Source organism: Homo sapiens, chromosome 7 (genome assembly GCF_000001405.40).
Source record: "Homo sapiens chromosome 7, GRCh38.p14 Primary Assembly".
Taxonomy (NCBI): Eukaryota; Metazoa; Chordata; class Mammalia; order Primates; family Hominidae; genus Homo; species Homo sapiens.
The window spans coordinates 30,784,903-30,804,227 of record NC_000007.14 but is presented as its reverse complement, the minus strand read 5'-3'; the positions used below and the strand labels follow the sequence as shown (position 1 = coordinate 30,804,227).

Below are 19,325 nucleotides of genomic sequence, written 5' to 3'. Positions count from 1 at the left end.
CACATGGAATCTAGCCATACAGGAAGCTGCCCTGGCAGATCATCTTTGTGATTTGAGGAACTCTGCCCAATATGCCCCTAACATAACTCAGCATCAGGGGCCATCTTTCCAAAATGGAGACACCACCTCTGACAGTCACAGCAGAATTCCATCCCTCAGCCACCATTTGAGAAAACCAGCCCAAGAGTCATGAGGGAAGGCATACACCCAGTACTCCAGCAGGACTGAATGGGATTTGGCAAGGGAAAGACTTTGGCTCTCTCTATGTCAGGCCCCAAGGCATCCAGCCTATCACAGGGTAGGAACAAGGACGCCCATCTTTTCCCTAAATAAATGCCATGATCCTTAGGTGGAGCTATGAGCTTAGGTTTTCTCCATGACCCACCATAAGTGTACATTATCCAAAAATGTCTGCAAATGCAGCAAAACCCAATGCAGGCCGTAGAAAAACACGCTGGGGAAGAACAAGAGAGCTGCTTCAGTCTTTAGGAATGAGACCCCAGGGATACCAGCAAACTTTCCCCCCTACCCCAAAAACAAAACCTCAGGCTTAGAGCAAGGCACAGAAGAGTGATGAATATGTTCCAGGCACAGTAATAAGGCCTGAAGAATAAGACTGCCCCCTGCCACACAAAACTGGGTTATTCAAACCCACTCAGCCTTCAAGGCTCAGCTTAGCCCTGCTTCATCCAGAAAACCCCCTCCCTCTCCTCTAAGCTCCTACGGCATCTCAATTAGCACCATCCATCTGACCCTGAAACAGATCTGCCTGCTATTTTTAGTTGACTTTTTCTGTGTGCTAAGTCACTAATTCTGCTCTTCTATGAACTTCTTAAGTTAAGGAAAGACCTCATACTTCATTCTCCCCTTCCAAATTCCAAGCAAAGTCAAGAATCCATCTCAATTCTTATTTATTGGAATAATTCTGAGCAAAACTCAAAAAGGTAGGGACACAGACAAGTCACCCCTATACTCAGGCAGCTGACAGTCCAGCAGGAGGAACAAAGTAGCCTGTCAACTCTCTCCAGCGTGACATGTGCCATGAGAGGTCTGAGAAACAGATCATGTCCAAGTATAGGTACAGTGAAGAGATCAGGAAAGGCTTCTTGAAGAAGGCAACATTCCAGACGACTTAAAGATGGGGCATCACAGTTGGGACAGTGAGTTGGCTGGTTTGATTGGGTGGGTTGGTTAGTTGGTTGGATGGAATGGATGTTTGGATAGTTTGTTGGTTGACTAGATGGTTGGTTGGCCGGGTTGGTTAGGTTGGTTGGTTGGGTGGGTTGGTTGGTTGGGTGGGTGAGATGATTGGATGGGTGGAATGGTTTGTTGGATGAATGGATGGTTGGATGGTTGGTTGGGTTGGTTGGTTGGTTTGGTTGGTCGGTTGGGATGGTTGGTTGGTTGGGTGGTCAGATGGCTGGTTAGTTGTTTAGTTGGCTAGATATATGGTTGGGTGATCAGGCAGTCATGTAACTAGTTTTGTATGAACAAAAAAATTACTGAGTAAATTAATGAATGCCAACAGGCAAACTAAAGTTCAAATTGTTTCAATTATATGAAAGACTTACCACTTTTAAGTTTCACGATACTATCACAGACAGATTAGCATAACTTTCCCTTCCATTCTCCTTGCTAAGTGCACTCTCTCATTTGCTTGGCACTTATTATTGCCAGGTACAGAGACATGGCTGAGTAAAGACAGAGAAATAAGGCCCCATTCCAGGCCTCAAAAAGTTCATGAATATAAATATGAGTTATCAAATCATTGTTCTATACTGAGGGTTGTCCAAGATACTGAAGGAACAAAAGAAAGCAGCCAAACTCTGCTAACCAGGATAGGATTAGGGTGAGATAATCAAGAAGCCTAAGGTGCAAAATTTTAAGAGACCTTCCCTCTCAGGTTAATGCAGGTGTCCAGCCTGCAGCTGAACAACTGTGAGAGTGAGTAGCTCCTTACATTTTGCATCCTAGATGCTTCACCTCACTCAGCCTTGTTCTGGTCCTACTAACCTCTATGTGGGCCTTTATATGGGATTCTGGTAGCCAGGAACTGCTGGAACATAGCTAACAGAGCAGCACAAAAGCATCTTGGAGTGAGAAAAAAAGGAATACAGGAAAGATTCTCCATAATACCACTCCTGCTCTCTCACACTCATCTCCCAAATATTATCTCAGAGCCCAACAACTTCCTTCCATCTAACAGCTGCTACTTCTCCTGCATGGAACATCTTCCCAGCCTGTATCCCAGGACTCAGAACCTAGGATGGAGCTGGCAAGGGCCCAGGTGTGGTCCAAGGGAGATCTCAGAGCTGCCATGCTGATGTCCACAGATGGACAATACAAGATCACTCATCTTCCCTTCCAGGGGGATGTGTGGCCACTCTCTCACTTCTTTAGCCGCACTTTCTGGATCTCAAAGGAAATCTGAGTCAAGGGAAATCTCTTTCCTCTGCAGACGCATCAGATCAGAGACTTGGAAACCATGGAACTGAAGGTACCTTGGGGTTATAATAACCACACAAGGTTTAGGGGTCATCAACCCCATTTTTGGAGGGCTCAGAGTGGCCTGTAACATGCACTGGAGCTGTTTCTCATGTTTAATCTCCTGTGCCTACTTTCAGGAGGCCAGCAATCAGAAGGAGAAATGGCATTCCACTGTGGACTGGGGGCACATGTATAGGGTAAAATGTGATCAACAGGCTGAGAAGTGGGGAGAAGTGGCTGAGCATCGGGCATCAATGGCAGGTGTGGAGGACAGCTGTATCCACCACAGAAGAGAGGTCCCCAGAACAGGTTAAGAAGGTGAGGCTGAACCAGTGCAAGAGCCCAAGCAGGCCACTATCCACACAGGATGACCGGCATGCTGGAAAGGAAATAGGTATTGTGTGTCTCAAGAGTCAGATTTTGAACCTTAATAGTCTGATGTGAAGTCCAAATAATGCATAAAGACAAATTAAAATGAAAATTCTCCCCATTACTCATCCCATGAGGTGCAGATGTTTTCAGAGCTGGGATGCTCAGAAGCAGGGAACAGTCAATGAACCGCAAATGCCACATCCTCTGTAAGCCTCCTCCAAGTCCCGGCTGGCACAATTCATTCCCCCTCAGGACACAGAGAGGCATCTGTGCGCCCGTGGCTTTCACTCCAGATCTGGGGGCCTCCAGAGGCTCTAGAGGACCTGGGAGAGTTTGGGATGCACTTGTCTCTCTCCCCCTGGACTGCTTAAGAAAGGTCTGGTAGGGCCTGGTGAATGTCCCCTGAATTAAATTATGCAACAAGGGCAACGAGACTAAATCGCTGGGGTTGGGAGGATTGATGAAGATCTGCTGCCATCTACTGTCCATTCTTCTGCAAAACCTGAAAAACTGCCAGGCATCCCCAGTGTCAGAGGAGTGTTTCAATGCAAAGGCAGAAACACTGAGGCTTTGGGCCCTTGGCTGTATCAAGGCTGCAGAGACCCACAGCAGAACAAGGCAGGTTAATCTTCCCCTGGATCTGTGAATTAAAAGTACAGCCATTCCTTCTCCAATGTTACTGGTTTACCAGGAAGTCTTTTGCATTAAACACTGCCTCTCCAAGCCCAGGGCCCTCCTGCCCCCTCAATAGCGTCCCTTAACTGCTCCCTGAACTTCCACTCCTTTGTGAGGGCCACAATTTAGCACCCAATTACACAGGGCATCCCAGTGCACCCTGGGCTTCTGGAGGCAGGGAACCATATCATGCACTGGCATCCCCAGTGCCTACCTGGGCTATGACACCTCTGAACTCACTAAGACAAAAGGACGTGACCCAGCCACAAAGCCAGTAATGGGTAATATGATGCTCTTGCAGAGGGCTGCACATGTCATGATGGGAAAGGCTGTCTGAGCCTGGAAACAGTTTCGTTTCAGTCTCACCTTCTGGAGTCTGTATCCTAACCTGTAAAAGATCCCTGCTTGGCCCATCTCACCAGGGCATCCAATGCATCTAAGGTGATATCCAGGGACAGGCTTTGCAGTTTATCTTTACTGTAATACCTAGGGGTTGGGTGAATGCAGAAGGAGCCATGAGAACTGACATGGAGGCCACAGGTGTCCCACCCAGCTGCCTCAGACAGGTAAATACTTCCCAGCTGCTGTCAATGTCAGCTGCTAAGGGCTCACAGCTGCATCCTTTTCTGGAGAATCGTCCTTTGCCAAACTCATCTAGGAGGTTGCACACTGCCCGCCCCACTCCAGGATGGGCAGCCCACAGCCAATGACTAAGAGGGGCACAAAAAGCTCACTCCCTTGCCTTAAACATGGGACTAACTCTGAGTCAATTCATGCTCCACATCTCCCCAGGGGATCAGCCTGAGCCCTTAGCCCTCACACCTTTGCTGAGCTCCTTCCCCTGCCCAGTTCCACTTTCCTCACCCCACTTCCTCCTGAGAGCATGCCCCCAACAAATTACATGTACCGGAATCTGACTCAGGCTTGGCCCCTAGGGCATTGCTTCCCAAAGCTTGACACGCATGACATCACCTAAAAAGCTTGTTAAAACCCAGATTCCTGGGCTCCACCCCCAAACTTCTGACTCAGTGGGTCAGACAAGCTGTTTCTAAAAAGTTCCCAGATGATGCAGATGCTGCCAGTCCAGAGATCACAGTTTAAGAACCATTGTTCTTAGGAACCTAACCTGAGAAACCATTCAACAAGTAATAGGCAAAGGGGTTAGGGATGGTGGAATTTAACCTTGCCCTAGTCAGCCTGCCTTCAGCTCAAAATGCTGCAGCCAGGAACAGCCTGGAACAGGCCTCCAGTGACAGATGCTCATACTCAGGGCTGGGAGTGATTCCAGGTTGCTGTGTCCTAAATCCATTTACTATATACCCACAGGTGCTCAGAGGAGCCTATAGTCTAGGAAGGACTCCAAAGTCACAGGACCCTGGTTTACAGGCTCATTATTTACATAAGATGAGCCTTAGAGAGGTCAACTGAATCAAAGTAATTCAGAGATTACAAAAGAAGTCAGAAGTCTGGTCTAGGCATGTGTAGAGGGTAGAATTGGGGAGCCATTACAGAGCAGCCCATCCTACCCCTTCATTTACAGACAGGAGCACAGAGGCCCAGAGAGGCCTGGAGGTCTGCTCAGCAGACTGCAACCTGCAAGCACAAGACAAAGAAGTGCATGACATAAAGGCAAGATGGGGACTTGCTTTTACTGTCCTTAGACAGTAGCTGTGAGCAACCCTACTAACTTGGGCTCTAGTAATAGTCCTGGTGTGGAAGCCTCTTAAACAGCTTCAATAAAACCCCAGTGCCAGAGGAGAAATGTCACAGCACAAAAGTAACAGGACAGCTCACTGCTCACATGTGTGGACTGCAAGCACATGGACCCTGAACTAAGGCCACAGGAAGGCCAGTTCACAAAGAAACACCACTGGCCTGATAGAAAGTAAGATGCAGGGCTGGGCGCAGTGGCTCACGCCTGTAATCCCAGCACTTTGAGAGGCCGAGGCGGGCGGATCACAAGGTCAAGAGATTGAGACCATCCTGGCTGACATGGTGAAACCCCGTCTCTACTAAAAATGCAAAAAAAATTAGCCAGGCGTGGTGGCGGGCGACTGCAGTCCCAGCTACTCGGGAGGCTGAGGCAGGAGAATGGCGTGAACCCGGGAGGCGGAGCTTGCAGTGAGCCAAGATCACGCCACTGCACTCCAGCCTGGGCGACACAGCGAGACTCTGTCTCAAAAAAAAAAGAAGAAAGTAACATGCAGACCAGAGGTATAAATTATGGCCCAATGACCATGACCTAAACCTGCTTCTCCCACAGTCTTCATTTCAGGGAACGGCAACCCCCCTCTTACAGTTGTTCAGCAAAATCTTTGCAGTTATCCTTGCCTCCTTTCTTTCTCTAACACAGCACATCCAATCCATACACGAATCCCAATGAGATATGTGGTTTCGGTCAATATCAGACCACATATATCACAGTGGTTCCATAAGATTATAGTATCATATTGTTACTGTACCTTTCCTAAATTTAGATGTGTTTAGATAAACAAATACTTCCCATTGTGTTACAATGGCCTATAGCATTCAATACGGCAACATGCTGTCCAGGTGTGTATACTAGGAGCAACAGGCTAAGCCATTTAGCCTAGGTGTGTAGTAGGCTGCACCATCCAGGTCAGTGTAAGTACACTCTATGATGTTTCCACTTCAGCAGTCTCGAGGAGAGAGACAGGTGCACCCCAAACTCTCCCAGGTCCTTCAGTGCCTCCAGGGGCCCACAGATGTGGATGCGCTTCTGAAAATGCACTTCTCAGAACATAGCCCTGCTGATGTATGTCTGTATGTATGTATACACCCATATTCTAGCCCATGTCTCACCACCTTCACTGCCATTTCCCTGATGCAAGCCACCACCAGCTCTCTTCTACTACTGCAGTTGCCTAACTGGTCTCCCTGCCTCCACACTTGCCTTCCTCCTTCCACACTTGAATCTATTCAACACAGCAGCCAGAGGGACCCTATTAAAACACAAGTGAGATCACAGCATGTCTCTGCTCGACCTCCAAAGGCTCCCATATCTCCTAGATGCGGGAGTATCCAAAGTAAAAGCCAATGCATTCAGCAGCTTCCAGGCCCCACATGACCAAGCCCTTGCTTCCTTTCTTGCTTTTTTTCCTCTCTCCCTCATGTAGTCCAGCCTCAATCAGTAACATGCTCCCACTGCAGGGCCTGTGCACAACTGCTGTCGGCATTTGCGTCCAGAGATCAAAGTGCAAGTTCCCTGTCTCCTTTCTGGCCTCCTCTCAAGTGTAACCCTCTCTGGTAGGTTTTCCTGGCTACCTCTTTATAAAATAGCAGCTCTGTCCCCAGGGCTCCCTGTCACTCTTCCATGATTTATTTTTCCCCTTAGCACTTGTAATCCTCAGATATGTTATATATTTCCTTGTTTTGGTGTTATTGTGGGCTGCCTCGTCTCACTGGAAGTGGAAGATCCAAGAGGGCAGGGACTCAATCTGCTTTGTTCACAGCTGACTGGCTGGTGGGTCTGGCACACAGTAGGCCATCGCAGGTGGTGTGCTGGTAAATGTTAACAACTGGCTCTCCAGGGATGGGGACCTTGATTTGCTGCATTTGCCAATCTCCATGGTATAAATATTCTAAACATGACCAATTCCAAGCTACCAATGTGATGTCACTGAATGCAAAGTTAAGAAGGGGCACTAAAAATCAGCATTCGAAGCCAGTACAAGCCATCTTTAACATACTGCTGGTCCTTGCTAAATAGTTGTTGAATAAATTAACTGAATAAATGAGTATGTCTGTGAATTGACAGGGTCTTTTTTTTTTTTTTGAGGGTATGACTCCAGGAATTCAGAGTCTGAAATCAAGTCTACCCAAAACCAAAGGATCTGTAACATGAAGAGCAAGACATCATATGTTGGTTAGTGACATCTGTGATGGAGGCTTTAAGTGAATACAGGAGGAGCATGCCTATTTAAAAAGAAAGCTTTAAACATTAACTACAAGGGAAAACAGAGTTTATGAAAATAACTTTGCTACACCTGCAAAAGCTCAAGTGAGTCATTTCCTTTCTGTTCTCTGGGGCTCTATTTTCCCCGCCTGCCAAATAAAGGGTTTGGATTCTAAGGATCTTTCCAGCACTGACAGTCTATGAAGTTAAGAATGTAAACAAGTCCTAAAGATGCATGTATTCCACCCTGCTTTTTAAAATGCTTAATTTAAAATCTTTTTTAAAAGTCTAAATTAGACTTCAATTGCATGGACTATATCATACTTCAAGGCTGTATTCTGGGAAGATACTCACTTTCTCCAGGACAAAATCCATTTCATGAAATTAATGATGACCCTAAGCTCCATGGACTCACCACAGCAGGCCCCAAAGCTAGACATCCTCCCCTCACCTAAGCCTGCTGCTTCTGGGGATGGCATGGCTGTGGGTTTCCTGTTGCCTTTTCCACACAAGGTCCAGATAAAAAAGAGACAGATGTGACAGTGAGACAGGGGGAAATGTGAAAAACACAAAAAAATCTTTTGAGAGTGGTCAGAAGGGAGATTGAGAGAGTAGATGAATATTTTAAAAACCATAGTGAGACAAAAAAAAAAAAAGTACAGTGCTCCAACAAACAGCTGCCCTCTGTGGCAGGCATAAAAATGACCCCCTCCCTCAACTATGTCCACATCCTAATCCCAGACCCCCTGAATGTGTTCGGTTACATGGCAAGGGGGGATTAAGGTTGCAGATGAAATCAAGGTTGCTAATCAGCTGACCTTGAGATATGCTGAGTGTTCTGGATCAACCAGGTGGGTCCAAGGTAATCACAAAGGTCCTCAAAAGCAGAAGAGGGAGCAGGAAGGGGAAAAGCAGAAAGAAGGCAGCCTGAGCAGGATTCAGCCAACGTCACTGGCTTCAAAGGTGAAGGAAGGGAGCCAAGGAATTCAGGTGGCCTCTTAAACCTGGAAAAGGCAAAGAAACAGATTCTCCCCTAGAGGCTCCAGAAGGAATGCAGCCTGCTGACACCTGGATTGCAGACCAGTGAGACATCCTTCAGACCTCTGACCTCCAGAACCATCAATCTGTGTTTGTCCTCAAGCCACTAAGCTTATGGTAATGCTACACCAGCAACAGGAAACACATGCACCCCTCTATTTGCCTATACTGTCAGGTCATCTGGTCCCTGACCCTGATGGCCTGTGTGACCCTGGAGAGGTCTGTGCCCCTCTCTGGGCCTCAGAACCCTCATTTATACCATAGGCCTTCATATCTTGGTACCCCTGGATCCCACGGCTCCATGGTTGAAGCCATGTGACAGGGCACACATTTGCTCACCAGCCCTGACCCTTAGATGTCAGTGCTGTGGCAACTGCTGTGGGTTGAATTCCTAAGGGAGGATAAAACTCTTCTCAATTCATGACCACAGTTACACCCAGGTTTCTGAAGCTGACTGAGCAAGTAAGTGGCTGGAACTTGTGCAGCCTATGCCTACACCTATTGCTAGATGCCCAGCATGGTGTGTTTTGAGTTAATCTGCAGAAAGCCAACTGTAGGAGTGTCCATGTGGCCATCTGCAGGTCCAGAAACTCACTCTGAGGGGCCCTCAGACAAATGACAGGCCAGCACACCCCAACGGAGGGCTGTGAGCAACACAAGTGAGGTGCCTCCAAAGAACCCACCTTCACAAAGTGCCCCTGAGGAGCCAAGAGGCTTGGAAGACCTAGCCCTGGGGGGTTGTAAGTAAAAATTTCCTCTCCCATGCTCCGTACTACATCTGAAGTTTCCTGAGGGTCTACTCAGGTCAGGTGTGTGGGTGACAGCAAGAGCCACAAATGTGTAGAGAAAGGCCCCCGCCCGCAACACAGCACTCTAGCGAGAGGGAGAGAGAGACGAGGGTTAGAGGACTGCCCAGTCAGGGCCAGAGTCCCCATGGTTCTGAGTGATGGTGAGAGGAACCCAACAAGGGCAGCCCTGACAAGCCAGCGACAAGTGACAGGTGGCCCCAAACAGCCACAACCCCCACAATGGGAGTCCAGGTGACATATTTTCCAAGCATCTCTTGATATCAAAGGGCACAGAAGAAAAACAAAAAATAAACCAGAAAATAGTCCCTTCAGCTCCCGGAGTCAGATCTGAGGAGTGTCAGAGTTAGGAGGGCCTGACTGCACAGATACTCACACCGCCTAACATCTCAGCAGGTTGCATCCTCCACCTGCCCCCTAACCCCACCTGTGCCCCTAGGTGTGACTTCCATGGATTTTCCTGAACCTGATGTTTGGAGGCCCAAAAAGGGCCCCAAGTAGCTCCCTCTCCTCCAGCTTCCTTAGGACAGAGCGGTGGAGCTGGCTCTGTGCATATGGCCAGCTCTGATGCCATCTCACTGCACTTTCCCACGCTTTAGAAGAATTATATGTGCACATGTGTGTCTCCCCTTGAAGAACTCACAGGACCTGGTACACACTAGGACTGAGACCCATGTTTACCAAACTGAATTAAACAAAAAACAAGGGGAAGGGGGCACTGATGGAGGGGAGTTGGGAAGGGCAGGGGATGCAGATATATTTACCATTGGGATTACTTTGGCCCTGGTTTCAAATCAAGAGCACTGTGTAGAGTTGTGTAGTATGTGCACTACACAAAGACGCCTCGCTGAGGCAGTGAGAGAGAGCTGAAATCCAGCCCATATTCCATTTGCCAGTCTGTGTGCCCTTGGATCTGCACCCACCCAGAACCTTGTCAGGTTCCTTGGATTCTCTGTGCCTCAGTTTCCTCATCTGTGAAATGGGGATAATAATTGCTGGGTTGAAGGATGCTTTTTCTCAACTCCCAGTGTTTTCTAGAAGTTTGAAGAAGGCTCTGCTGGTCTGGCCCACCTGGCCATTCTTCCCCTCTTTAATCACTCCACCCTAACGGAGGAAGTGTGAATTATATGACTGATAAATTCCATAAAAAATAAAAGGCATTTAGGCTCAGCTTTACCCTTTTTCCTCTTAGAAGTGGGCTGCTCTTCCACGGGCAGCCCCTCCCCACCATGTATTATATGAGAATACCTGCCCTGGGCCCACGATGGGAGGCTGGCTTGAGCCCAGGAGTTCACAACCAGCCTGGGCAACATAACAAAACCCCGTCTCTACAAAAAATACAAAATATTAGCCAGGTGTGTGGAAATAAGTGCATCTGTGGTCCCACGTACTTAGGAAGCTAAGGTGGGAGGATTGCCTGAGCGTGGAAGGTCAAGGCTGCAGTGAGTTGTGATTGCGCCACTGTGCTCCATCCTAGGTGACAGAATGAGACCCTGTCTCCAAAAAAAAAAAAGCAAACCAAAGACATTTCCAAATAAAAACTAGAAAAAAAAATTTAACATACCTGCTAAAAAAAAATACTAAAGGAAGTTATTCGAGTAAAAAGAAAATATAAATGCCATAATTATTCCAACTAGAATAAAAAATTATCGACTGGATTTAAAGTTCCAAATACATGCTGTTTATCAGAGATAGGCTTTAACTATATACTAGAAGGAAATCTCAGCAAATATCAAAGGATTGCAATCATAAAGAATAATACATATATAAACAATTAAATAAACAATATATATAATATATATATAAATATAAACAAAAAAAACCCTAAATGTATGAAATTAGTAGTACATGCCTAAATAACCCATGGGTTAAAAAAAAAAAAGAAACCACGATGGGAATTAGAAAATATATTAACTAAGTTATACGAATATGTAACGTATTAACTTACGGAATACAGACAAAACATTACTTACAGAGAAATTTGCAGCTTTAAAACATATTACAAAAGAAGAAGGCTGAGAATCAGTAAACTAGAAAATAATAGCAAATTAAACTCAGAGAGAATAGAATGAAGAAAATAATAAAAATAAGAGCAGAGGTCAATGAAATAGAAAACAAACATAAAGCCAAAAGTTTTCTTTGAGTATATTACACAAATGATAAATTCCCAGTGAGACTAGTTAAGAGAGAAAGAACATAAATTACCAATCACAGGAATGAAACAAAGACATAACTACAGATCTCACAAACTTCAAAGTGATAATAAGAGGATAATATAATTATACAATTTTATACCAATAAATTTAAAACACACATATAAAGTGGCCAAACTCTTTGAAAAAATACAACTTGCCAAAACTTACACAAGAAGAAAGTTGAAATTTGAATTAAAAAGTTTTTAATTGAACACATAATTTAACACCTTTCAACTTAATGCACAGAAAATTTCTCCAGTAAATTCTCCCAAATATTTAAGAAAGAAATCACATCAATCTTACACTCACTCTTCAAGGGGATAGAAAAAGAGGGACCACTTCTAGCATAACCTAGGTATCAGCATCTGACAAAGCTGTTGCAAGAAAGGAAATCTGCCAGCCAATCTTCTTCATAAACCTACACACAAAACCCCTACACGAAATATTAATAAGTCAAATCCAATGATATATAAAAAGATAATATATCATAGCCAAGTGGGATTTATTCTTAGGATGTAAGGTTGGTTTAACATTCAGAAATCAATCAATGTAGGAATCATTAAGGCTTATTGTAAAGAATAAAAGTAAGGATAGGATGAAAAATAAAATAAAATAGAAATAATGCCCAAAGGGAGCCTTGTGGGAGCTGATTCATCACTGTATCTCTGGCTTCCCACAAGAAACTCTTAGCCACGTCTGCCTGGCCATGTTGCTGCAGGTATGTTTTGGGACCATCTGCTAAAGCAAGCTTGTCCAACCCGCAGCCCACATGCAGCCCAGGATGGCTTTGAATGCAGCCCAACACAAATTCATAAACTTTCTTAAAACATTGAGTTTTTTTTGCAATTTTTTTTTAGCTCATCAACTATTGTTAGTATATTTTATGCGTGGCACAAGACAATTGTTCTTCCAATGTGGCCCAGGGAAGCCAAAAGGTTGGACACCCCTGTCTAGAGCATTCTTCAGCTTTCCAGGTGTGTGAGCTCTGGCTGAGTTTTCTTCCTGGTTGACCATAACAAACTCTACCTTGCCGGTTACTTCGCAGGCTTGTTCTGAGAGACCAAGGAGACTAAGAAGTTCCCTTCGGAGCCATTAGGGACTAGACAACATGTGAGAGGTGGAGCTTCTTTTTGAAAAGCCGTCACCTTTGCATAGCACACTCACCTGACAGGTGCGGGCTGGCTGCCCTGCCGTTTGAACGCTCTTTCCAGCCTCTCCTGGGTCATCCTGGAATTACCACCAGGCAAGTAGAGCTTCAAGGGCATCCTGTCCGTGTCTGTGCTGCCGTCCACTGCTGGGGTGTCCTCGGAGGGATCCCTCGGCCTGGCCCTGTCCCATGGGGGCAGCCGTTTGCTGGGCAGATGGGGAGGGCTGCTGGCAGTGGTTTTCTGCCTTTCTACGGTCAGTTCACTAAGCTGACCCAGGGAGGTCCTGGAGGGGGAGCTGTTGCTCGAAGCCAGAATGTCCTGTTGGGTGCAGACAAAGAGCTCAGGGACCTTCCGGCTCTCTTCTTGGGGTTGGGTGGAGCTGCTTGACGGTGAGGACCGTCTCAGATAGTGTCTGTGAAAAGAATCCTAAAGGGAGTAAGGACAAAAGCAGTGAGGACCCTTTGAGGGGAGCTGGAAAACAAAGATCCCACTTCAAGCATTTGCCCATGATGTGATGTCTCTCCCAGGAATGTCTTTTCCCACCTCGGACTCTTTCCCTTAAAATCTTGCCTATTATTTAAGGAGCTACTCAAATGCTCCCACCTCTGGGCTTTCAGTGATGCACACCCCGCCTGCTGGAACCTCAGAGCAGGCCTGGGCCTTTCTCTCGCAGCCCTTACAGAGAGCAGGTTCATGCAGCAGGTGAAGCCGTCGCTCCAGTCTGCATCACCACCTACCAACTGTGTCACCTGTGGCAAGCTGCTTAACTTCTCTGTCCCTGATTTCCTCACCTGTAATATAACCAGTCCACAATCCACTACCTGTCATTTCTAAATCCCAAAACCAGGCTGGGCATGGTGGCTCATGCCTGTAATCCTAGCACTTTGGGAGGCCAAGGCGGGTGTATCACTTTAGGTCAGGAATTCGAGACCAGCCTTGCCAATGTGGTGAAACCCCATATCTACTAAAAATACAAAAAAATAGCCAGGCTTGGTGGTGCATGACTGTAATCTCAGCTACTCGGGAGGTGGAAGCAGAACCAATTAAACCCAGGAGGCAGAGATTGCAGTGAGCCGAGATCACACTACTGTACTCCAGCCTGGGCCAGCAAGACAACCATCTCAAAAAAATAAATAAATAAATCCCAAAACCTCTGAAAATGAAAGGTTTTTTAAAATCCTGTGGTAAATTCTTAACTGCTGTGAGGCTGCTTACAGTCTTTTTAAAGTGTGAATATTCATACATGGAGTTGCTGAAATGGTCATGTTTTTTGCTTATGGGTGCTACCACAAACCCTAGTAAAGGCAGTATGTGGTATGTGGCTCATGCACTGTACTTCCTTTCCAAAATTAAAAAAAAAATTATAAATTCCAAAAGACATCCAGCCCAAAGGTTTTGGATGAGGGATGAGGCACCTGTAGTACTTCTCCCCAACAAGACTGTAGGGAGGATGAAATGAGACCTGTGCAAGGCACTAGCACAGAGCCAGACGTATTGCAGCAGTCAGCAAACGCTCACTACTCCTATGCGTATTTGCCCTGTGCCCACTTACATATGGTCTCAACCCCCTCCTGATGGCAGAGGTCATTCTTAATTCGCCTCTGGTGTTCACAGAGCACACAGCTCAGCAGCCTATACCTAACAGGCACTCAAGATTTGCTTAGTTTTTGAAATGAAGGAATTCTAGAGGAGTCAATTGAAATATCCAAATATCCTCCCTTACCGTCAAAGATGAGTAGAGGAAATGGGAACTCATGTTGTTATTAATGGGAGGGTGGGGAGACAAAAACAGACCTACCAGGCTTTTCCTTGGTTTAAAATTCTGAACCTCTCAATATTTCCAGAAATAATCCAAGACCAAATAGTAAAGCCTGGACTGGAATAAGGAAACCTTAATTTTGTAGTGTTCTGGCTAAGCAGACATTACTAAGCACTATAAACCTCCTCCCAAAGCCACTCAGGACATCCCCTCCACAAAGTGAGGAAGACATTAGTCACCATTCCCGAGGAGACTCAAACTTCTGGCTGAAGGGAGCTGGAGCTGCTGCAGGGAGCCCAGCCTCTTAAGTCATTCTTAAATACAGAAGTGATGTAGTAAATATGATGAAATACCCAACAATCTTTGGAGCTTTTCTCCTGAGCAACCAATAAGTACGGCCAAGGTACTCAAAGGCCACAATGTCCCTTCTAGAGAATCTGGCGAAATTCTATAGCAACCCATCCTTCAACATCCTTTGTGGGTTTCAGATACCACCTCCCAAAACAATTACCAAAAGGAGAAGTTTGCAGCAATGCCCTTGGCAGTGAAGCAGGTCCAAGCCATCTCCCTCACACCACAGGTATAAAGGGCATCTCCACTGGACACGCTTGATGATCAGGACGTCATGCTAAGACAGGACCCTGGCGCTCCTCTCTGGTTCACCGGTCCTCAGAGTAGTCCACCAACCCCTAAGAGTCCCCAGATCCTTTTAGGGAATTCAAAACTATTTTCATAGTAGTAAGATGACACAATTTGCCTTTTTCCACTGTGTTGACTTTGTGCACAAAGCAACAGTGGGAAAAACTGCTGGCCCCAGGCATGAATCAAGGCAATGGCAACAAACTCCACTAGTGCCCAAGGCCCTCTTTACCACCAACACACTCACAATGAAAATAGGTGAATAAAGTGCTGACTTCACCGAGGAATGTCCATGCTGACACAAAAATTATTCATTTTATGCCCTTAGACTCTCCAGCACACACCTCTTCAACACCCTGAGTGACACAGTGGGAGGGACACGGCAGGCATTCCGCTGACCGTGGAGGATGGCAGCTGGCACTGCACGACCATCTAGGCTGCGAGTGAACTTGCTGGTTTTTTCATGGAACCACTGACAGACAAACTATGGTTACTCAAGCGTGGGTATTTGGCAGGCATTTTCTTGAAAATCAGTTGAGCCTGTCACCTCAAGGGAAACAAATAGTGTATTTTTGTCAGTGATAAAACACAAGCTGTCAGGTAAAAATTAGAATTTTGGAAAACTTCTATCTGCCACCGTGAGCTTGAGAGCTTTGCAATACTTAAAAACTTCTTGGATGAGCTGGGGGTGACATCAATGAATGAAATTTTTTGGTGTGATTTTCTTTTTGTCTAATGAGATGTGTCCACATTTGGAAGATCTATATAACTCACTAACCAATATTTTCCAAATGGCCAATATATTATGTTACTAAATCATTCAGGGGTAAAAACTTCAAAGTGCAAGACATATCAAGCGAAACTGATAAGGTACAAAAAGTTCACTGATATGGTTTAAGATTTCACATTAAGAAACTACAACTTGTCTAGTTTTGGTGTAGTATCAAAGAAAAATATCTCAGTTTTCTGAAAAGACTATTAAAATACTTTCCCTTTTCCAGCTGCTTATCTGTGTGAGGCTAGATTTTCTTCATACACTTCAACCAAAACACCATATTGCAACGCACTGAATGCAAAAGCAAATATGAGGCTTGAATTGTCTTCTACTAAACAAGACGTTAAAGAGATCTGCAAAAAAATGCTACTCATGTCACTAATTTTTTGTTTTGAAAAATATAGTTATTTTTTCATTAAAATATACCATGTTACATGCAACAGGTTTACTACTGTTATTTTTAATGATTTTTGTAAGTAAATATTTTTAACTTCTCACTTTTAATTTCAAATATAGTAAATAGCATAGACACACCCACATAAACAAAAGCTCTTTGCACTCCACAATAATTTTAAGAGTATAAAGAGAGCCTGAGGCTAAAAGTCTAAGAACCACTGATGTGGTCTAAACTGTCACCCAGGCAGGGCTCCTTCCACAGTGTCCCCAGCAGATGGGTTACCTAACTTCCCTTTTACATAACTAGCCGAGTCCCTTCCAAAACAACCTTTTCCACTGCTGAGGTGGCTCTGACTAATGGAAGGCTCCCATACCAACCTCCATCCACTGGTGCCAGCTGTGCTGTCTGGAGCTACTAGGCAAGGCTACACCACTCAACCCAATAATGGTGCCAGCAAGCACACATGATGCACTACACAGAAACACAACAGTGTCCTGCTCTCAGGAGGCTTACAGACTAAGCTCAAGATTGCAAATAGAGTTTATCTCACATGGAGATGGGCTATTCCAACCTCCATATTCGAAGAAATCTCTTACATTCTGCCAACCTCCCACAAGATTAAACATCTCCAAATCTTTTAATTTCCTCCAAACTGTTCACCATTCTAGCCCCTTTCCCCTGGACAGGGTTCAGTTTATGAATGTCCTTCTCCAACAAGAAGGCCTAGAATGGGGTATGACATCAAGATGTGGCCTGAACTACACAGTGGCGGGAAGGCTCTTCCTTGATCTGGACCCCAAGACTGCATGATCTTGACAGCACTGAAATCCCAGAGCCCTAAGGGGCCTTAGACAGCTGGTCTAATAGAAGAGACTGCAGCCAAGAGAAATAAAAACCTTGACCAAAGACCCCATAAGATAGAGCCAGGGGCAGGGAGAGGACTCACTTCTTTCCATCCTAATTCCAAATGAATTGGGAGAACAGTGCCAGCACCTGCACCCACACCTAAACATACAGCAGGTAAGTGAGAGCGCAGGTGGACACAGACACCCTGTTTTTGATTGGCTCAGGCTCCCTGATTTGACTGATACGGCACTTTGAGTTTGGTGTTTGCTTTTGTTTTGCTTTTCTGATTGTTGTTTTACAAACTTCTTTTACATTTGTCTCTCATTTTGTTTTGTCTCTCTGCCTAATGGAATTCTACCATGGTCACCCTGTAAGAGAGACTATAAAACAATAATGTGAAATTTTTATAATCTTTCTTTGAAAGAGAAAAAAATAAAAGCAGAATAAATGAAACTATAAGGCTTGGGGGGTTTAGCCCCTTTTGACTATTGTGTTTTAGATTTATTTTAAAAGATGCTGTTTTTTCCTTTTTTTTTTTTTTTTTCTTTTTGAGACAGGGTCTCAGTCTTGCCCAGGCCAGAGTACAGTCACATGATCACAGCTCACTGTAGCCTCAACCTCCCAGGTTCAAGCAATCCTCCCCACTCAGCCTCCTGAGTAGCTAGGACTACAGATGCACATCACCCCACCTGCCTAACTTTTTGATTTTTTGTAGAGATGGGGCGGTGGGACAAGTGTCTCCTTATGTTGCCCAGGCTGGTCTCAAATTCCTAGGCTCAAGCAATTCTTCCACCTTGGCCTCCCAAAGCATTGGGATTACAGGTGTAAGCCACCACACTCAGCCTAAAGATGCTCTCTGAACCTGGATAGGTTCTCCACTCCTGAACTGCAAAGACAAAGCTGAGTAGGTATTCTTACCCAGCAGAGGAACAGAAAACCATGGCATCCACCTCACAAACAAAATGGGTAAGCTAAGGGCAGGAAAGGAGGCCTGCTCAAGGCCCCACGTGTCATTGACAGTAGAGCCAGGGAGAAAACAGAGGCACTGTTCTTCCCACCCCACACACAGACCCTCTTCTCGGACTGCCCTGTGGGGTACCCCAAATAAACCCAGGCGTGCCTTAAGCCCAGCCCAGTTCTCAGCCTCCAGTCCCATAACAACAGAAAGAGCAACAGCCCCACCTGTGGGGAGCTGGCGATGGGCCCAGACATCATGCCTCGCACAATCAGACCAGACTTTGGCCTGGAATTCTCTCCCATCCTCTTCACATCCAAGGAAGGCTCCGAGTGAAGCTTGTCTATCTTCTCCCATGCAGAAGTCAACACAGGAGTTTCACCCGGGACCGTCTGCATGGGCTTACTTTTGTGCGGGGGCCTTTTAGATGATACAAAATTACCAAGTACATCTCCATCAAGATTGTCATGTCTGTGAAAAAGGAATATTTCCATTAAAACAGACTCCCCAAAAGGAATCAGTAACAAAGATAGCAAATTCCACATTCAATGTGCATTCAAAGCAAGCCCATTAATAAATCTATGATGACTTCTAACCAGCCAGTGCGTTATCATGAAAGACAAGGAACAGAAAATACTCTGGTATCAAGGCAAGTCTGCCCTATAAAATAAGACCAGTAAACAAGCAAACAAATTCAGAGATGATGATCCATAACAGGACCCCTCAAGTCCTTAAGACTAAAGAGCATCCTTAGTCTTCCAGACCTGAATGATTAAGGAAAACTATAACCTTTCAGTACAGTCATGCGGTATGCGAAGCCCAGCCTTGCCGCACACCACTGAGAGGCGTGGAGAAGACCCATAGCAAACTTGGCATTCCCCACTGTTCAGCTAAAGCTGAAGTCAGGTGTGCCAATGGGTGTGTGTGTGTGTGTGTGTGTGTGTGTGTGTCAGAGAGAGAGAGAGGAAGTAAGAGAGCAAGAAAGAACAAAAGAAGGTGAGGGGAGTTGAGCGGAGTGTAAGAGGGTGGATGGCATGTGCTTCTGACCTACCAAAGCATCTGGAAATTTCAGACTGCTCTTTGTCTCTGAGACTGTGTTGGGCACACCATTGAATAAAGTGTGGATCAATTAAAAAAAAAAAAAAAGAAGGCAAGAGACAGTGAGAATAAGCACAGAGTGAGAAAGAACAAGAGAGAGCCCACGAGACAAAGTGAGAGACCTAGGCAAAGGGGAATCTTACCTCTGATCACCCAGAAGCCAGCACTCCTGTGACACAGGCTCAGCTATTTTCTACCACTGGGCTCTGCCATAAATGG

The 19,325-nt window shown here is 45.6% G+C and overlaps 1 protein-coding gene and 1 long non-coding RNA gene across 2 annotated transcripts in view, besides 2 other annotated features; both read right to left on the bottom strand.

The window, feature by feature from the left end:
* INMT-MINDY4 (INMT-MINDY4 readthrough (NMD candidate)) overlaps positions 1 to 19,325 on the bottom strand; it is a 140,253-nt gene that overhangs the window by 88,160 nt on the left and 32,768 nt on the right. The window contains exons 6-7 of the long non-coding RNA NR_037598.1: positions 18,236 to 18,479; positions 12,654 to 13,063 (exon numbers count right to left, since the gene is read on the bottom strand). This is a non-coding gene — a long non-coding RNA (INMT-MINDY4 readthrough (NMD candidate)). The remainder of the gene's footprint in view (positions 1 to 12,653; positions 13,064 to 18,235; positions 18,480 to 19,325) is intronic.
* The window catches only part of MINDY4 (MINDY lysine 48 deubiquitinase 4), a 120,971-nt gene that overhangs the window by 88,160 nt on the left and 13,486 nt on the right, over positions 1 to 19,325 (bottom strand). Inside the window, exons 4-5 of the mRNA NM_032222.3 lie at positions 18,236 to 18,479; positions 12,654 to 13,063 (exon numbers count right to left, since the gene is read on the bottom strand). Coding sequence (NP_115598.2) covers positions 12,654 to 13,063; positions 18,236 to 18,479 — 654 coding nt within the window. The remainder of the gene's footprint in view (positions 1 to 12,653; positions 13,064 to 18,235; positions 18,480 to 19,325) is intronic.
* Positions 3,313 to 3,442: an enhancer, noted in NCBI's record as "active region_25818". NCBI's record gives its function as "activates an Ori minimal core promoter by ATAC-STARR-seq in GM12878 lymphoblastoid cells {active_cell/tissue: GM12878}" and the evidence as "EXISTENCE:reporter gene assay evidence [ECO:0000049][PMID:35858748]".
* Positions 4,309 to 4,428: an enhancer, noted in NCBI's record as "active region_25817". NCBI's record gives its function as "activates an Ori minimal core promoter by ATAC-STARR-seq in GM12878 lymphoblastoid cells {active_cell/tissue: GM12878}" and the evidence as "EXISTENCE:reporter gene assay evidence [ECO:0000049][PMID:35858748]".